The 20,652-nt window shown below is 36.5% G+C and overlaps 1 protein-coding gene across 13 annotated transcripts in view, besides 1 other annotated feature; it reads left to right on the top strand.

The window, feature by feature from the left end:
- GRIK1 (glutamate ionotropic receptor kainate type subunit 1) overlaps positions 1–20,652 on the top strand; it is a 403,064-nt gene that overhangs the window by 94,567 nt on the left and 287,845 nt on the right. The window lies entirely within an intron of this gene.
- Positions 11,682–11,882: a silencer, noted in NCBI's record as "peak4398 fragment used in MPRA reporter construct". NCBI's record gives its function as "represses an SCP1 promoter by STARR-seq MPRAs in K562 erythroleukemia cells {active_cell/tissue: K562}" and the evidence as "EXISTENCE:reporter gene assay evidence [ECO:0000049][PMID:32103011]".

Below are 20,652 nucleotides of genomic sequence, written 5' to 3'. Positions count from 1 at the left end.
AGAAACATGACAGACAGGCTTGAAATATCTCACAAAACAAAATAGAAAAGAATGAGGATTTTCAAATGACCATAAATATGGTAATAGCATTGGTAAAATGGCAATAATGTGTTTTACCATAAATGTGGTAAAAGACATAAATATGGCAAAAGACGTTTGGCATTTTTTTTCTTAATCAGTATTCCTGAAAAAGAGAACTCAACAAATAAAGGAGAAAAAATAATTCCAAGAATATAAAGAAAAAAAAAGTGTTTCCTAAAATAAACCAATAGTGATTCTAGATAGGCACCCATTGTTTCTGGAAAAATTTTAACATTGCAATCATCATAAACATATTCTAGTGAAGTTATTTAATTTTAAAGATAAGGAAAATATCTCACATGAGCATGCAGGAAGGAATAATATAAATATCCTTTGATTTCTCTTTCTGCACATCTCATATCAAACAGTGGACAGTCTTATAAATTTTGAAAGCAAGAAAAAGAATGTTATACTCTCCTGAATTCCCCTTCTGGTATAGACAAGTGTTCTGGAACAAAACGAAATTTTCCTGGAAGAATTACATGATAAGAATATCCAGAAGAAAAAAAGATACTTGTAAATAAAGAATAGAGCCAAGATCAATCAACTATGAAAAGTATTTATATAAATGCTATAAACTTAAATGATGTAAAAATAATGACGTACTATAACTCGCCAAAACAGAAAAGTAGCAAAGTAAATGAAGTGAGAATATATGTGAGGGTATTGAATGGTTTTACGGAGTGAGGAGTCCAGGAATATAGTCTAAAGTTGAAATCTGCAGTAAAAATCCATAATGTGTCTAATATTCGTGTTTTTGTTATATTTTCCTTAAATCAGAAGGGATTTGCAGTAGTTGATTAGCTTGCCTTGAAGAAACATTTACTTACATTTCAACAATTCCTGTAGTTTCACTTCAGCATCTCTTTCCTTAATTCATCTAAAATTAAATGTAATAGCTTTATTGAAGAAGAGAAGTATAAGACAAATCAGCAGTCAAAACTTGGGGCTTGAGGCCTTTCTTTACTGGCGTATGTAGACCCCAGCTGAGAGTTTAATTTTGACCCTCAGGTGTTAGTGCTGCTAGGTGTTAGCTGACGTCAGATATTTGGTAGCACTGATTGAACAGTCTAAGAACTGCAGGAATATACATGTTGCATTCAAAGGTAAAACAAATCAAGGCTCTATATCTGCAAAGGTTTTTTTTTTAAATCATATTCATAGGAAATAAAATAAAATTAAGCCAAAGGAAAAAAAATGCAATGACAAAGATATCTATTACAGCAAACATCAAATTAAGACCAATAAACCACTGAGTGCATACTCTGGAGACATTGTGCCTTTCCAAATGGCGTAATGAGAGTGTGAGTACAACTCACGCTGTCACTCTCCTGTCAGAAAATGACAGTTGCCTGTATCAGTTCTACTCCCAGAGCACTGACTATCACAGAGTGAAAACTTGGATGTGACAGCACCAACTTTCTGCCCTCCAAGTAGGAGTCTGTGGGGACTGAACCAGTCCAGAGGAAGAATCATCGCTCTAGAAGGAGTGAGTGTGTAAATTTAAATCATCAGCAAAGCAGAACCTGGTTACTGAAGGCAGGAGAGCTGGTTCCAAATTATCTCCCTCAGTTAGTCCCCCTCCCCAACTCTGACAAATGAATTAATTTACAGGTCCATTTCTGCTAAGTTAAAATGCATCTATCTTCTCCTGGGATTTTCTTCTTCCATAGAAATGGAGTTTTCTCTCTCCCCAGTGTCGGCTGAAGCTTTCAACAGAAACCAAAATTCTAAAATAAGAAATCCTTTAAAATATCAGATCCACATCTCCTTCACCTAAGAAAAATATATAAGGCCTTTTACATTTAAAAAAAAATCTTACTTTCAACAAATTTCAAAATATTGGCACAGTTGGAGTTATGTAACCATCAATCAGCAGTGTCATATCTGTGTAATGTTTCATATCTCAAAACATCCATTTGCTCTTCGTTGTAGATCAGATGTTAGCTCTACTTTTTGAGAAAATTACACACTAAAAACAAAAATAAATGAACAAAAGCAAACAAACAAACATTGTAAGTCCTCAAAAGGCCAAGTTACAATGTGAGCAGAATTGGGTTGAACTCAGAGGTCCTGATTCAAATTCTAGGTATGTGTCACTGTCTTGCACTGCAATAGTCATTACCTGGGATCTCTGGAGGGCATTAGCAACCATCATTCACCAATCCAACAAGTTTTTAAAATATGGTACTTTGACAACGTGAGCCTACTGACAAGAACCTGCCCACGGAATCATTCTCATGTTCTGTGGATATTTATTAAGCCCTACTGAACATATACCATTCATGAGGCTAGGGAGTTCAGAACTGAGAACACAGATGGAAAAAAAAGAAGGTAAACAAATAATTGGATTGTAGAGTCAGAAATATATAATAGGAAACATACTCAAATATCCTTTACTATATATACCTTATTGCTGCACTATTCTGCAATCAGTCATTAAATGCAACATATGATCTCTGGAAAGGAAGCCTATAGGGGTATTAAACTGTGAGTGTTGCTGGAAATGTTCTTCACAGAGTGCAAAAAATCATCAACATTCGTGCTGTATTGAATGCCAACATATTAAGATTTCCTCCAGGTAGCAAACTGTAAAGCTAAAGTTTTTGATAAAATAATGACATAAAAAGTTAATGTCGACTTGTCTGCCAGATAGTTTGAAGATATAACTGCCTGAGTTTTGCTTTTCTTTTGTTGATTAGAATGACAAGAGTAATGAATTTTCACCATTGGAATTGACCGTCCTACATGAGAAAAGATATTTGAAAATCTAAGTACCAAGAACATACTGCTCTGCCAAATAATGAATGCATGTTCTTTCGTCTGAAGTTAACAATCTTAAATTAACTCCAAAATATGAGGACAAAAACTTTTGAAAATTTCTAGTAAGCCTTCAGAATTTGAAGTGTGCTGACCCACATCTAGTACAGAGATCTTTTCTTCGCTTCCTTTTATTTCTCCATTTCTAATTTCACTCCATGTTCCTAAGAATGAACATAAGCATCCTCTTGCAACAAATGTTTTATTTTCCATTCTCAGTATAGTTGCAAATCACTATGAAAATAAACAGAAACGGGGAGATGAACTGTATTACATTTCTGGTTGTCTTTTCTAACCATCAACCCAAACCAAAAAAAAATACATAATCTTTTGAATATTCACTTTAAAAAGCAAAGAATAACCTGAGTGATTCAAAACGGCGTATTTATCAAGATTATTTATAATTGGCTTTGTAATGCATTACGTATTTTTGGCAGATCACACTAGTGAGTTTGCTGAGGCAAAGCACATAGAAAAAAGGGATCATCTAGAGATTTAGAATATTCTGTAATAATTCACCCAGAAAAAAATAAACATTTGATCATACAAGACAGAGTCAACAATTAAGTCAAAGAAGAGTTGCACGTGAGAAACAGTCAAATGTATTTATAGAGATTTGAGTGTTGCTTATTTTGTAGCTGGGTGAAGGTAGGCATTTGAGATGAGGCAACTGATTCAAGCAAACAGAAACCATTGTTTCCGGAAAATGCTTCCAAGAGGGAGGGGCAAAGAGAGAAAGCAGTTGTAGAGGAAATAGGAAATTTGTCAAAACTATAAACAAAAAACAGTATATACCTTGTCCATTCTTTTGCAACAATGATGACATGATTCTCCAATAGACAGTGGCATATAGTGAAGCCTGACTTGTCAGAGGTCAGATATATTCAATAACATATTTTGGCTTAACTTTTCAATCATTTATGTTCCTTTGTGATGTTGACTATATGTGGATCAGCTGACGGCTAAAGATGGAATCATTATTCTAATTTCAAAGAAAATGGGGCAAAAGAGTGAATAGGGAAGATCACACTTATTAGCACTATTGGAAGAATAACTACTTAACTTCTTAGAATGTATCAGAAGTATTATTCTCAAATTAGAAGCAGTCTGACATCCTCAGATGGAGATTAAAATAATTATAAAGTGTTCAAAAATCTCTGCCATGGGATCTAAATTTGCAGTGTTTGCCAAACAGAAAGAAGCCATAGACAAGCTTAGACAATTTTGATGCAGACTTTACAAATTTAGAAGCATTCAGTTGCTTAACTTGGCTTATTTTTGCTGAATTCAATAAAGACATATTGATTTTCTATTGACAGTGGGAAAGTTATTATAGCTATCATCATCAATTTAAATATTACTCACTGTCCAATTTACGGTAGTGTGTGTGTACACTATACAATATCATAAAAATTAAAATGTGTTTAATATAGCTTTCTTATTTGCTAGTATAAGTAAATTTTTAAAATAAGAAAAGCTAAATATTACATATGGTTTTTCTAGATGGTTAAACAATGCCAGACCATCCAGTGTAAAGTTCAGTTCAGTCAACTATTGTAATCATCCAGTTGCTAAGCCATGTCTAATTTCCATTTATTTTTCAAGCCAAATCTCCATGTTTTGGCTCCATGTTTATGTTTTTTTCCCAGCTGTTGTGTGTATTTTGTAAAATTGTGTCTATCAGGTAGGTGGGTTTGGTTGCTATTTTCTATAGTGTATTATTTTTGGATTCAGCCTTAAGCTTTCTTGTTCTGCATTGAGAGTTATGTTGATATTTCAGCAAGAGACTACCAGAAAAAGTCATTAATTGTTCAGACACAGTGTAAAAAAATATTATGAGCCAAAACAATTATTGAATTTATTTTGCAGGAAACCATTGTCTCACCACTTTTAGCCCTTAGTCAAACTTGATCCACCCTCTGAAAGGCTGTTTTAAAATAATTGTTTCTATAGGTTAAGTATTGATTTCTCAAGCCTGCAATAGGCACCCTCTTAGAAAGGGTATTTCAGGGATTCCAGTGGGATAAATAGCTACAGTTGTGCCTCATCCTCCCCTTGATTTCAAAGATTCTCAAAAATTATGTGTAAAAAAAAATATGAAAGACAAAGCTATTTATAGACTATGAAACTTAAATTGTCCCTTCTGATGCATTGCTAGAAATATGAAATGGCAAATGGTGATTTTTAGAATAATCTGCAAGACAAAAGTTTTAATATTCCTGAACACTTTGAGACTTCAGATCCCCTTTCCTAAAATCATGTTTGTATTGCTGGTGAGGCATATATTCCAATCTTATTTTTTTCTTATTTTTCAAAACTCTGAGTTAAAATAAAAAATAAGACTGGGATGAAAACATTTTCCCCAAATTACAGAATCATCTAATTTCAAGGCTTAAAAAGGACATTGACTCATCAAGTGCAACATTATATTCCTATTTTTCAATTCCCACTCCACACCATCTGGAAGTCCATCCCCAACTTCAAGGAAAAGGAAGTCCATACTTGAGCATCACTGACCATTAAAATAGTTCGTGATAATGTCAGAATCTGTCTTCTTTGAGTTTCCACCAATTTGCCGTCATTCAAGCCCTTGAAACTGTATAGAATAGTCTACCTTCCTTCCACATAAAAACCTTTCACACTACTGAGGTCAACTATCACCTTCTCCACCACCAGCGAGATTAGTGTTCTTGATACCAGATATTCCCAATTTCATCCACTATTCCTTATAAGATATCAGGATGAGTTCTATCTTTGTTGCCTTTCTCATAAATTTACCCTAAATTCTTCTAGAACTGCAAAACCCACAAAGTATTGTCTTACTCCAGATATGGTCTGAACAAATAAGTGGGACTATCACTTTCTGCATATTAGAGTAGGATTTTTGCATTTGTCCCCATAACATCTCAATAGTGATTCCACCTAAATTTACTATCAGCTCAAATCCCTAAGTCATACACATGCTACCAAGTCTCACTTTTTCCCTTTTGTAACTGTCTTATATTTTTTAATCCAAGAATGGGATCTCACAATTATCATTGAAATTCTAGACTATCAATATAGTCTACCAAAAATTTTATATTCTAATTCTTTCATTCCATGTTATCTGTTAGTTTTACAAATATTTTGAGTAACTTTATGGACAAAGCCTTTACTCAAATTACAACTAGAAATTCCCTGGCCAGGCATGGTGGCTCATGCCTGTAATCCCAGCACTTTGGGAAGCCAAGGAGGGTGGATCACTTGAGGTCAGGAGTTTGAGACAAGCCTGGCCAACATAATGAAACCCTGTCTCTACTAGAAATACAAAAATTAGCCAAGCATGGTGGCATGTGCTTGTAGTCCCAGCTACATGGAAGGCTGAGGCAGGAGAATCGCTTGAACCTGGGAGGCGGAGGTTGTGGTGAGCCAAGATCGCACCACTGCACTCTGGCCTGGGCAACAGAGTGAGACTCTGCCTCAAAAAAAAGAAAAGAAAAGAAAAGAAATCCCTATAGTATGATATTTATTCATTAATTTGTACTCTTCAAGTATAGTAGCTTACTTCGTTTAATAATTTGCCTAAATTCCTTTTTTTTCCATCTTGTCCACCAAATAGTGAAAAGGTATGTCAGATTCCTTCATACAATTTAAGCACCACCAAATAAATTTCTGTGATCTGTGAGGTTAGTAACTTGTGACAAAGAAAGTGATGAATCTTGTTTTCATGTTTTCTTTTTTCAGGCAAACCATGCTAGATCTTTGTAACTGTTATTTTATTACAAGAGATTACAGGACATTCTTTAATAATTTTAGAGTCTCTGCTGTAATCAGTATCAAACTCAGAGCTTTGGCTTGTAAAATCCACGTTATTTTGCTGAAAACTAGATAGTGATTTGCCCTTCACCAGTCTTCTATTATTTGCTGTGATTTCTCTTAGACCTACTAGTTCTGCTGTTTCTGAAGTCTTGCAGGCAGGCAATATCTTTGAGTTCAACCCAGTTAAACTAGGAGCCAGAACTCCCGGAGAGCAGCAGAAGAGTGAGTAGGGGCAGGAGTCACTTACAACTTCTTAATCCATCATGGATTTCAGTTCCCACTTACTAATAACTGTTTCACCTTTTGAGTTTTTTTCAGTACAAACAAGATGGAAGCTAAATGGCCAATGAGGAATCTTTTTTTTTTCTGTGATATCCGTCTTCATTGAAGTTCTTCAGAGAGCTTTAGTACTCTTCATAGTTTAAAATACAAAACTATCTTCTTGGTTGTCCAATTCAGTTTCTGCAGCCCCCAGTTGGTTAGAACTTTGACTTCCAGCACTCCTCCTATGGGCTTCTATGATACTATATTCGCTACTGAATCAAGGGCTGATTCCTCTTATCCTATTATGGACCCAATGAGCTTTTAATGCAGAAATTCTTTGAATGGGTCTTTTGCAAACCTGCTTATTAATTTAAGAAGTTTCCTCTTTTCTCCTTTATTGAAATCATTTAGAAACATATAGATAAAATTTCACTTTTAACTTTTTGAACCATCTTCCTCTTCAGATTCTTAGTGTATAATCAAACCTATTCCCTTTCCAAAATTATGAAATTTGCATTTCTACTTAGAATACTGGAAGGTGGATTTTAGTTTTCCCAGAAATATAAAGTTTCTTGGGGCAAAATATAGAATACTGGGGGCTTCTCCACACTCGGGGCTTTGGAAGCCACACTGTATAAGACTATTGTGTGTTTTTACCCAAGTACCACTAATGTGGAACAGTGGCACTGTTTACTAAACGGTAAGTTTTTTATATTCTAAATCTTATGATCACAGTGGGTCTGCTTTAAGTTTGATATATTTATAAACAAATGTATTTTCTTCTGGTTTATTCTTCATATATTCTAAAATATTTAGATTTAAATATGAACTATATGCTCATAAGCTTGGCTGACTCTAGCAAAAAGTAGTCTTCTATAGGAAAATTGTCTTTGTTTCCCAGACTTCTCTTTGCTGTCATTCCCCCCCATTGGTGGTTGCCTAGTCCTCCTATTCTTCAGTTTCTCAGTGCTCTCATAGTCCTGCCTCCTGTGACTCTAACTCAATATAATCACATATTTATTATATTCACAATGAGTTATAAATATCTAGAAGTTGTTCTTCCCTGGACATAACTATGTTAAGAAGCATCAGATGCTGCTAAAGGCTTTCGGAAGAGAAATGAGGAAGTTCATTGTCAATCACTCATTTATTCTTTTACTCAATAAACACTTGTAGAGCCTCCCCTATGTGCCAAAACGGTGTCAGGAAACACAAGATCATTGCAGATGAAGTTCCTGAACTCTAACAACTCTCCTTGTAGGAGAGAGAGATACCAGAAAATATAAGGGGTGTGAAAACCAGAAAAGATTAATTTTGAATTACAATTTCAGCTTAGCTATCCAAAAAACGATTACATCCCATTCAGAAAAGCATGTGAAAAGGGTATGAACTAGCATTTCAGATTTTGAAGACTGCATCAGGGTGTACTTACGGTGAAGGGTCCCAAGTGCCAAAGCAGCTAGAGAAAAAGCAGGTGCTGGATCATGAGGGACTTTATGCCTAAGGTGAGAGTTGGACTTTATCTCTAAAACTGTGGGCAATATCTAAAGCATAATTTTCTTGGCTCCTAGAGACAAAATGTAGGTGGCTTCTTCTTTCCTCTCAGCCCCCATTTTAATAGAAGAGAATTTTGAAAGAAGATAACTAAGCTTTATACTTCTACACTATCAATGAAATTACATTTTTTAGCATTAAGAAAGGTATGGACACGTTAGAATTTAATGTAATATTTGTCTGATTTCTCATGATGTGAGATTTGTGGGCTTATGATAGTGTCTGTGTAAATATATATATATATGCAACATTACACATGTATATGTGTGCATTATCTATTAAATATATACTTATCAAAATATCCAACTTTCATGTTTATAAACTTATAATTCACAGGCAACAATGGCAAATCAGAGTGGATCTTATTTTTAATCTGCCTAGCAGAAAATTTATTTAGTATATGTTTTACTATAATTATCCTAATAATTGTTCCACTGTACATAGGGACTTTTCCCAGAGTTGAGTAAATTGGTTAGGAAATAAAAGGAGCTATACTGCATAAAAATAACCTAAAATTAACATCTGCAAATAAGCCAGGGGACGTGTGTCTGTCTCTGTGTATCATAAGCATTTCTAGAGACTGATCATCTGACTTAGTACTTTTACATAGCTATCCTTTCCCTACTTGGCCCCAAGAGAATGTTATTTCTCATGATTGGTTTATCCATTGTATTAAAACAGAAAGAAATAATACAATTTTCTCTTAAATTTCCCAGTGCCTCAGTTCAATTTCCTGCTGGTAGATTTCTGCTTTCTTTTTATATCTAAGAAATTATACTCTTTACTTTACAAAGGACAGTGCACTGACCGACTGAAATGAATGTGCTTGTAATAGAACAGTGGGCAGCAGCCTGCCAGGCTTGGTGAAGAGTGCAGCCTGCTATTGCTTTCCAAGGAACAGTTTCTCCCACAGCTTTCTTTCACCAAAGTGTGTCTATTGCCATCAAGTCAGAAAGGAATGAATATTTGCGTGGTTGGGGAAAACAAACCTGCTGTTGAGGAACAGGTTACTTTAAGCCGGAATTATCTAATCAGACTGTACCAAAATCACCAAGCAATTGCTAGCTCTGGACTTAGCTTTTATAAAGCAACGACAAAATGAGTTAATAAGTTAAAAAAAATAGAGGAAATAATCATTATTGCCCATTGGGTTATTCTGAAATATGGCTTCTTCAGCAAACAACAGGGCAAAAGTATATTATCTGTGTTTAGGGCCCAAGACCAGATGGATTTATAGGATATAAAATATAGCCTTAAAGATCCCGAGAGGTTTGAAGCCCCAGAATTCCTCCCTGCACTGACTGTTTTAATACCCTAAAATGTCCTCAACAAATGATCAGTTGTTTGGAGATGTGCATTATGGGATTGTGGGATTCAGAGGCTCTAGCAAACTCTTGAAACAACTGTGTTTTCCACAAGGTTTTGATGAGTGGATTTGATGAACAGTCTCAGAGCAATATAAAAGCATGTGAGAAACAAAGAAAAAAGACCAGAGACAAAGAAACAAGACCAGTTATGTTAGGACTTTAACCCAGAGCTAGTGCTCCTGGGGCCACGCCTCTCAAAAAACTTCTGCCATTTCCCACTTTTCCGACCTGCCCCAGGCAGAGGATCTAGCCACCAGCAGAAGAACTAAGTGAGCAGATTAATGCCAGGGGATGCTGCTGGGTGCTGCAGGCTAGTAGGGTAGGTAAGTCCCCATGAAATTTCAGAAAGATTTGTAGGAGGCTTACAAAAGTACACAAAATACAAACACTGTTGAGTTGCAAGTGAATCAAATCAAGAAAGAAAAATAATATTGAGTTAAGTGCGGTCCAGAAGAAGCCTAAACAGAGGACATTAGCATGTGTGGATTGCTACCTGGAGCATTAGTGATCAGAAAGAGCATAGTAGAAACGCTATGCCCACAGGAAGACTGAGTGTGAAAATCAGAAGAGCCAAACCTGTGCTAAAGACCAGAGAAAGAGAAAGTAAGACAAGAGTGAGAATAATAATGATACAAAAAACCCTCCAGTACTAATAATTAATATTAATTAATATTGAATAAATAAAATAATATTCAATTGTAATATTGAATAAATAAAATAATATTCAATATTAATATTGAATAAATAAAATCATTAATATTGGATGAATATTAATTAATATTAATAATATTAATACTAATGCCAGAAATGTGCTAAGCAATTAATATATGTTAACTCATTAAACACTTTCAAGAACTATGATGTATAATTTTTATTGCTATGTTATATATTAGAAAGCTGAGAGGTGAAGAAGTTTCGGGGTAGAGTATGCTGCCAGAGCCATGATTTGAATCCAGCTCTGCCAGAATTCAAGGCCCATGCTCTTTATCACTCTTAGACAGCCAAGTAGGAAGTGAAGGCCAAGTAAACAGAAGAATGACCAAGAAGTGAAGAACAAAGTGGGGGGTGAAGGAAGCAGATCCATCAGTTTCTCTAGTATATTTTCACTGATGGTTAGTAGTGGTAATGGGTTATAGTGCAGAAGAATAATCTCTTCTATTATCTCGATAACCATCATTTTACATATATAATATATATGTAATACATAAATATATATATTTTTATATATATATAAGAATATTGCCACTTCTGTTTAATAGTTTTCAAAAAATAAATTTCCTTCCAAGTTCCTATTTTGGGAGAAATTAATGTATTTGCAACCGAGGGTAGTAAAAATGATCAAATTATTGTTCTAAAAAAATACTAAAACTGCAAAAATACTTGGTCCTCAAAATTTAGGATAATACTATCTGATTTCCCTAATGTATCTCTCTTTCAATTCATTCACTTCTTTCTTCAATAAACCTACCTTAAGAGTTTACTATGTGATAGGTTTGCAATAAACCCTTTGTAATGCAAAAGACTAATACATTTGTATACAATTATATAAAGCACTTTACTTGAAATTAATTTTATACATAAAATTGTATTTATGTGTATGTTATGTATATGTTCAAATCAGGGCTGCCATAAATGCCATGGAGAAGTTCATGGTGCTGTGAAAGCATGGAGATTCTCCATATTCATGGCAGTTAAGAAATGGTTTCCAAGGGGAGTGGTGTGTGCTGTGAAATCTGAAGGATGCCTGGGAGCCACCTTGTTGAGAGAGTGTGTGTGTGGTGTGTGTATGGGTAGGGGGTGATATGGTTTGGATTTGTGTTCCTGCTCAAATCTCATGTTGAAGGAAGGGCCTGGTGGCAGGTGATTGGATCATGGAGGTAGACTTCCCCTTTGCTGTTCTGATGACAGTGAGTGAGTTCTCATGAGATATGCTTGTTTATAAATGTGTAGCACCTACCCTCCATCTCTTTTCCTCCTTCTCCAGCCATGTAAGATGAGCTGCTTCCCCTTTACCTTCTACCACAATTGTATGGTTCCTGAGGCCTCTCTAGCTATGCTTCCTTTACAGCATGCAAAACTGTGAGTCAGTTAAACCTCTTTTCTTTATAGGTTACCCAGTCTCAGATGGTTCTTTACAGCAATGAGATAACTGACTAATACAGAAAATTGGTACTGGGAGTGGGGCATTCTTATAAAGATACCCAAAAATGTGGAGGTGACTTTGGAACTGGGTAATGAGCAGAGGTTGGAAAAAAGTGGAAGGCTTAAAAGAAAACAGGAATATGAGGGAAAGTTTGGAACTTCCTAGAGACTTGTTGAATTATTGTGACCAAAATGCTGATAGTAATATCATCAATGAAGTCTAGGCTGAAAAGGTCTTAGATGGAGATGAGGAACTTATCAGGAAGTAAAGCAAAGGTCACTTTTCTTATGCATTAGCAAAGAAGTTGGAGGCATTGTGCCCCTACCCTAGAGATCTATGGAACTTTGAACCAGAGAGTGATGATTTAGGATATCTGGCAGAAGAAATTTCTAAGCAGTAAAATGTTCAAGAAGTGACCTGGCTGCTTCTAGCAACCTATGTTTGTCTTTGTGAGCAAATAAGTGATCTGGAACTGGAACTTATATTTTAAAGGGAAGCAGAGTATAAAAGTGGAAAATTTGTAGCCCAGCCATGTGGTAGAAAAGAAAAACCCATTTTCTGGGAATGAATCCAGGCGAGTTGCAGAAATTTGCATAACTAAAAAGAAGTCAAAGTTAATGGCCAAGACAATGGGAAAAAATGCCTTGAAGGAAGCATCTCCTCCTGTCACAGGCCCAGAGGGCTGGGAGAGAAGAATGGTTTTGCAGGCTGGGCCCAGGGCCCTACTGTCTTGTAAAACCTCACAACGCTGTTCCCTGCATCCCAGCAGCTCCAGCTCCAGCCATGGCTAAAAGGACCCCAGATACACCTCAGGCTACTGCTCCAGAGTGTACAACCCATAAGATTTGATGGCTTCCATGTGCTGTTAAGCCTGTGGCTGTGCAGAGGGCAAGAGTTGAGACTTGAGAGCCTCTGCCTAGATTTCAGAGGGTGTATGGAAATGCCTGGATGTCTAGGCAGAAGCCTGCTACAGTGACGGAGCCCTCATGGAGAACTTCTACTAGGGCAATGTAGAGGAAAAATGTGGGATTGCAGCCCATACACAGAGTCCCCACCAGGGCAATACCTAGTGGAGCTATGAGAAGAGGGCCACTGTCCTCCAGACCTCGGAATGGTAGATCCACTGACAGCTTGCATTATACACCTGGAAAAGCCACAGGCACTCAACACCAGTCCAGGAAAGCAGCTGAGGGGGATGCACCCTGCAGATCCATAGGGGTGGAGATGCCCAAGGCCATGAAAGCCCACCCCATGCATCAGTGTGGCCTGGATGTGAGACATGGAGTCAAAGAAGATTATTTTGGAGCTTTAAGATTTAACCACTCCCTTGCTGGGTTTTGGACTTGAATGAGGCCTGTAGCCCTTTTGTTTCAGCTGATTTCTCACATTTGGAATGTGTGTGTATACCCAATGCCTGTACCCACCATTGTATCTTGGAAGTAACTAACTTGTTTTTCACTTTACAGGCTCATAGGTGAAAGGGACTTACCTTGTCCCAGATGAGATTTTGGACTGTAGATTTTTGAGGTAATGTTGAAATGAGTTAAGACTTTGGGGAACTGTTGGGATGGGATGATTGTATTTTGCAGTGTGAGAAGGACATGAGATGTTGGAGGGGCTGGGGGCAGAATGGTATGTTTTTATTTGTGTCCCTGCCCAAATCTCATGTTGAATTTTTATCCTTGGTGTTGGAGGAGGGGTCTGGTGGGTGGTGTTTTGATCATGGGGGCTGATTTCCAAACCCTTGATGTTCCTATCATAGTAAGTTCTCATGAGATCTGGTTGTTTAAAAGTGTGTAGCACCTCCCCCTTCACTCTCCTCCTTCTCTTCTGGCCATGTAAGATGTTCCTGCTTCCCCTTTGCCTTCCGCCATGATTGAAAGTTTCCTGAGGCTTCCCCAGCCATGCTTTCTGTTGAACCATGAGTCAATTAAGCCTTTTTTCTTTATAAATTACCCAGTCTCAGGTAGTTCTTTATAGCAATGTGAGAATGGACGAATACAGGGGGTAGATAGAATATTTCTGCCAGAAGGCATAGCGTATGCAAAAGTTCTTTAGTGGGTGGGAGCAGAGAGCATTTGGGGAACTGAAGGAAGCCAATGGGACTGAAAGATGGGAATGGTGGGAGTCAAAGCTGCAGAAGTAAAGAAGAGCCCAACCAGACAGTACCAAGTGGGCTGCTCAAACATTTCTGCCTTTTCTCACTCCTTATTTATGAAGGTTGGGCACAAACATTTGTCTCTAGCTCTATTATGTGTTTCAGCAAAATCTACCGAAACTGCTTCAGTATCCAATATTTTTATCTTTTGTAATAAATGGTAGTAATAGAATGCTACAGTACACACCTTAAATGAGCAGATTTTCACCATAAGCATTTTTAAAATGTCCATATAGACAAGGTGGAATGTTGCTTTTCTGCTTGTGTTTTAAAATATCCCCTCCCAACTGAATGATTATGGTGACCTTTGTTTGTGATTTAGCTTCAAATTAATATCATTAATATATTTTTGTCATTGTTGCACTATTTCATCACCTTGAATTCTTACATTTTCATCTTTATTGGAATCTCTATGTTCATCAGACACATTGGCCAGTAGCATAAATAATCATGTTCTGATCAGTATTTACAAACTTGTAATATCTGAAATTTATGAACTGAAATTATTTCTATAGCAGTAAATTTTATGAATTTTATTCATTAAATGTATGTTTACCTTGCACTTATTATGTGAAAGATTGTAAAACTTCCTAGGACACAATGAAAATAAACTTTAAGGAGATATACTAGGTTAAATACATGCTGTGGTTATAAGACTCTGAGCTTCATGGAGCAAGCACTCTATCTATCCTGCTCATCACTCTACTTCCAGTACCTCACAATCTATATGGCACAAAGCAGTTCCTCAATGAACAGTTATTTGAATAAACAGAACAGAAATTAAAGGAAGAAGTGGAATGGATCTATCACATTTTCTTTAAATCCAGGATTGGTTCTGATTTTATTTCTGCTCCTTTGTTTTGTATAAGAATATGTGTGTGAGTGTGTGTGTGTGTGTGTGTGTGTGTGTGTGTGTGTGTGTGTGTGTGTGTGTGTGGGGAGGTGGGTGGGTGTGTATCTAATGCTTAATCAAGAGTTTATTTCCCATGAAAAACACAAACAACACACAGACACACAGACACTCTCACACACATACAAACATACACACAATGATAATTAATTCAGAACAGTGTTCTTGATTCATACATTTCCATGGTTGGAAAGATCCTATGTGTAGATTTTCCAAGCCAGTGCTTTGCAATCATTGCCAGCAAAGTACCCTATTTTAGAACATATGGTGTCAGATTTCACAAAATGATTCATATTTCCTAGGCCTTGTGTGAAAGTAGGTGTTTCTATTTGGGAATTACTGCTTAAACAATGACTATTTTGACAAGAAGCAACACATTTTTTTTTTCTTCCAGCACATCTCTTGCTTAGGTGGAAGCTGGAGAACCAATTACTAGTGTGATTATCCTAAGTGTATTCTTACATGTTTTCTTCTCTGTGAAAATGTTTCTATTCTTTCTGATTATAAATGTTACTGGATGTGATGTGTGAATCAATCCTATCTGTGCAGACACAGCAGAATGAAAGGTATAATGATGTAGGAGTGAAGTGTCAATGAATAATTCATATCTGACAGCATGTAGCATTGGATTCTATCAGGCAACATTCCATGGCAGAGAGGTCCTCAAAGGCTTCTTAAATTCATCTGCATCAGCTCATTGTGTTTCTGCTCGGGTGGCAGAATCGATCATTTAGAATGAGGGAAATGATACTGAGTGGCACTGCTTGCTAACACAGATAGAAAAATATGTAGCTATTTTTGTCACCATCAAACATTAATTCAACAAATGTTCATTGAGCTCTTGCTTGGTTCTCATAGGGTGTTCAAAGTTGGAGGATCCACGGAGTATAACACATTCTCTGACTCCACAGAGCTTATCACCATTACTATAGATACATAAAATATTACACCTGACTATGATTCATGTTATGAAGACGTCCAAAGTTAGCTGAGATACATTCCCTTTGCTTCAAGAAGAATTTGAAGAGTGTAATACATGAAGAATATACTTCCATATAATGGTCCAGAAACAGGTTCCTTTTAAAAGTGATGAATATGAGCAAGCCTTTTTCTTATTAGAGTCTTAGAGAGGTCACTGCAGCATGTGGTGAGATATTTACTAATGCATGCCGTTTTTACCTAGGAAACAACTTTCTATGAAATGTAAACACAGCTGTGGAGTTTAATTCAGGATCCTCATCCTTCTTGTATTAAGCTACATTGGAAAGGCGTTCAAATCAGCCTTAAAAAAGAGAATCAGTTGACTTCATGGCAGTAGACCCCTGAAATTTTGGAAACCAGATTTTTAAGACTATTACAGTTAGAAGAGCTGAGTTAAAAGGTTTGCTTTGGAGTAAAACTGGTTTGGTTTGAATATCGCTCTGTTATGTGACCTTGAACAAGTTTTCAGCATTACTGAACTAATTCCTCATCTGTAAATGGGGCTAATATTTGAACACCTATCAATAGGTGGTATAAGAACTAAAGAAAATAGGAGGCTGGATGTGATGCCTCATTCCTGAAATCCTAGCACTTTTGAAGGCCAAGCAAGAGGATTGCTTGAAGCCAGAGGTTTGAGACCATTCTGGGCAACATAGTGAGGCTCTGTCTCTGAAAATTTTTTTAATTAGCTGGGTGTGGTAGTGTGCAGCTACAGTCCCTGCTACTTGGGAGGCTAAGATGGGAGGACTGCTTGAGCCCAGGAGGTCAAGCATGCAATAAACCAAGATCCTGCCACTGCACTCTAGCCTGAGTGACAGAGTGAGACCCTGTCTCAAACAAACAAATAATAAAAAGAACTAAGGAAAATACATAATATAAAGTGCTTTCACCATTCCTGCATTTTATAGTGTCAAATAATATCAAGGCTCCTAGGAAAGTCTCTATTCATTTATAATATTAAATTTCATTTAGCAACATGTAAATCTACTTAAAACATAGGCTTATCTACACCCAAATCAATTACTAAGGTTTTTCGGTATAAATGATTTAGGGTTTGTGGCAGTCTGTTATGTAAGTGACTTCTAGTAAACCATGCCTCCTGGTAATCATGCCCTTCCTTGTGTAGTGCCCTCCTCTTGAATATGGGCAGCCTCCCTGACCAATAGAAGGAAGCAGAATATGCACTGTGCCAATTCCAGGACTAAGCTTTAAAAAAGTCTGGTAGCTTCTGCTTTTGTTGTCTAGAAAGCCCCGAGCCACCATGTGAGAAAGTCTATTACCTTAATAGAGACACCCTGTGTTTCATTAGACACACACCCACACACACACACACACACACACAGAGAGAGACAGAGAGAGAGAGAGAGAGAGAGAGAGATCCTAACTATATTATAGAAAGACATGAGCTCAAAAAACTCAGTGGCCCAGCCAATTCAAGCCTCTAACTGACCCATCAGCTAAATAAAGCCACACAAGTAACCACTGGCAAGACCAGCAGAAGAACCATCCAGCAGAACCTAGCCCAAATTGAGAATAGTAAGCAAACAAAATAGTTTTTTGTTTGTTTGTTTAAAGACGCTAAGTTTTGGGGTGTTTACTTGAACAGCAATGGGTAACGGAATCAGGGTTATTTCCCTTTCTTTCATTCCCCCTTTCTACCAGACACATTTTTTAGATTTTTTCTCATATGTCCTCCTTTCACTAATCACCATTTGGTAGATCCATTAAAGTCTTTTTACGTTGATCTAAAATGTAACTCTTGAGTCATTTACGACAGTTATGACATGTGTTAATCAAAATAGGATTTGGGGAAACCTGAGATGTCCACCCTACTTGCTGCAATGGCTGAACATTATATCAAATCTGGACTTATGAGTGCCATACAGCTTCATAAACATTGAAGCACCTAACATTTTTCATGCTTTTGCAACTTACTATGACTTGCCGTTGACTCATCATGGCCTGAGCATTTAAAAATATTATGAAATATATTTGAATTCATAAAACTCTCATTTTCCATTAATCTGTTCTTCTATTAGGTTTTAATATTACTTAAAATTGCAAGAATAATTTTTGTCTAGGGCCTGAGTTCAAAATACCACCTGCTTTAAAATGTGTGGTATTTTCAGAATTAAAATAGCAATGTATATCTCTTCAACTTGATTCTCACTGCATTTCTTTATTAAGTTAGGCTTTTCTGATAATAATTAACCAGTTAAGCAGCCCTAAATATAATTAATTTTTTAATTGAAGATGAGTTTGAACAAATTGAAAAGTTTATCAAAATGGGTGATTTTTTAGCCTCATGATCTAGCTGAATCACTTTATCACAATAACATGCTTTTGCACAAAGACTACTTAATGTGTTTTTGAAATAAACGCATGTGGTCCCATGAGAGTATCTTTGATCTCAGACATGTTGGTACCATGTAGAAGACTTTGAATTTGTTGCTTAGGTTTATAATACAAGCAAGTGATTCTTCTATTGATACTTTGAAAATATTGTCTACTCTGATTGGAGGAATAATTAATTTAAGTCCCTCTATCCCTGAGTAACCCTCTGTTAGTGTTCTCTGGAGAATAAGAATCAATAAATTTCTCTCTCTCTCTCCATATACATATGTGTATGTGAATTCATATGTGTATATATATTTATATACGTTCATACTATACATATACATATGTATTCACACACACACACACACATGCTATGTAAAATTGGCTCATCAATCATGGGGGCTGGCAAGCCCAAAATCTGCAGGGTGGCCTGGCAAGTTAGAGACAGAGGGAAGACCCACTGTTTCCTTTTAAATCTGAAGGCCATCTGCTGCAGAATTCCTTCTTGCTCAAGGGGGTCAGTCTTTTTTCTATTCAGGCCTTCAATGGATTGCAAGAGGTTCATCCACTTTATAGAGAATAATCTGCTTTACTCAAAGTCCATGGATTTAAATGTCAATCTTATCTGAAAACAACCTCATGGGAACATCAGTATATTGTTTGACCACATATCTGGGCACTGAGGCCAAGCCCAGTTGACACATAAAAGTAACCCTCATACCCACCTTGAGATCTGAGCCAATTGAGAGAGAGTCTCAGGTATCAAATAGATGGAGATTAACAGTAGTGGTGTTTGAGTAGAGGCCATGGCTTGGAAACGTGATCAAATGGACTTCCTGCTACTCAACCTTCCCCATAGTAATGACCAATATACAGATCGTCACCCAGGAATTTTGTTATGAGGAAGAGAGAAAAGTGTGTGCAGAGGGCAGGAAGAAAGCCCAAGCTCTGTGCATTACACTTTTCTCAGTCTCATTATCCCATGTCACTACCTTCCTTTGGAGAAGAGTGCCTGTGGAGGCACAGAGGAGGCTCCAAGTTACTTGTTACATTATTCTAAAAGAAGCAGAAATTCCTTTTAAACAAGACCAGGCAGGTTTGTGTGGGGAGAGAGAGGATCACTCCCTAAAATAGCATTCAAATACGATTTTTCAGAACAATTCTGGTTTCTAAACAATCATCGTGATCCAGAATCTGACTGCCTGTGCATTACAGACTTAAAAATTATGTAAAGGATAGTATTTGGCAGTAATTTAGAAAACATATTTCTCAAAGTTTTCTATTTAGACCAGTACTCCTTTTCTCTAAGAATAATGTGAGATTTTGATCATTTGTACAGCTTTCATATTTTTCTTTTATGTAATCTCTTAAAATGATTCACAGAAACTTAAAAATCCTACTAGCAAAATAGCCCATCATGATCAAATGTAGCTGCATTACCCTTTTTAACCAGAAAGCCAGTAAAACATCATTTACATAGTATTAACATATTCATGTGTTATTCAAAGATATATCATCTAAAAGAGTGCACAAATACTCAGAATATTTTTCTCTCTAGCATCACAGATATCAAGATTCTGTAAATTTTTTGATGAGTTTGTTTCTTGTTAATATAAGCTATGTTTTCAGTTGTATTAAGAAAAAATAATCTTGCTTTCTTTACATCATCACTAACTTCTAAATCACCCAAGTCATACTCTCAATATCATAATGCACTATTGTTTTAAAACTTAGAAATACAGCATAAAGTCTTCCCCCATCCTGCTTTTTAAAGCCTTTGCTCTTGCCACTATAAACTTCAGTTTTCTAAAAAAAGAAATTGTAACTTTTAAACAAGAATCCAAGAAACACACAACATCCTTTTTACTTCTTTGATGATTCCTCATTTAGGAACCGAATTATTCTTTAATCATCCCTTAAATGATAAGTGTCTCTGGCTCTAATCTTTAATCATTTATTAAAATAATTAATTCTTCCCACAATAATATATTAAACATTTTCCTATAATTGGATATATTAATTTCTAGTTGCCTTTAAAATATACCTATCATCAGACCACGTCTCACCATCAACATCACTCAAGTCACCATCACTCCTCACTAGAGCAATTGCAATCTCCCTGATCCTATGTTTTTGACCTTGCCCCTTTGTATCTATTCTCCACAGCGAAGTCAGTGGGATGCTGTTAAAGTCGACCGGCTGTTCTTTGTCTTCTTATGACCCTCCATAGTATTGCCAT

The sequence above is a fragment of the Homo sapiens genome, chromosome 21 (assembly GCF_000001405.40).
Source record: "Homo sapiens chromosome 21, GRCh38.p14 Primary Assembly".
Classification (NCBI taxonomy): Eukaryota; Metazoa; Chordata; class Mammalia; order Primates; family Hominidae; genus Homo; species Homo sapiens.
The sequence above is the reverse complement of the archived record's forward strand: the minus strand, read 5'-3'. Positions and strand labels throughout refer to the sequence as shown.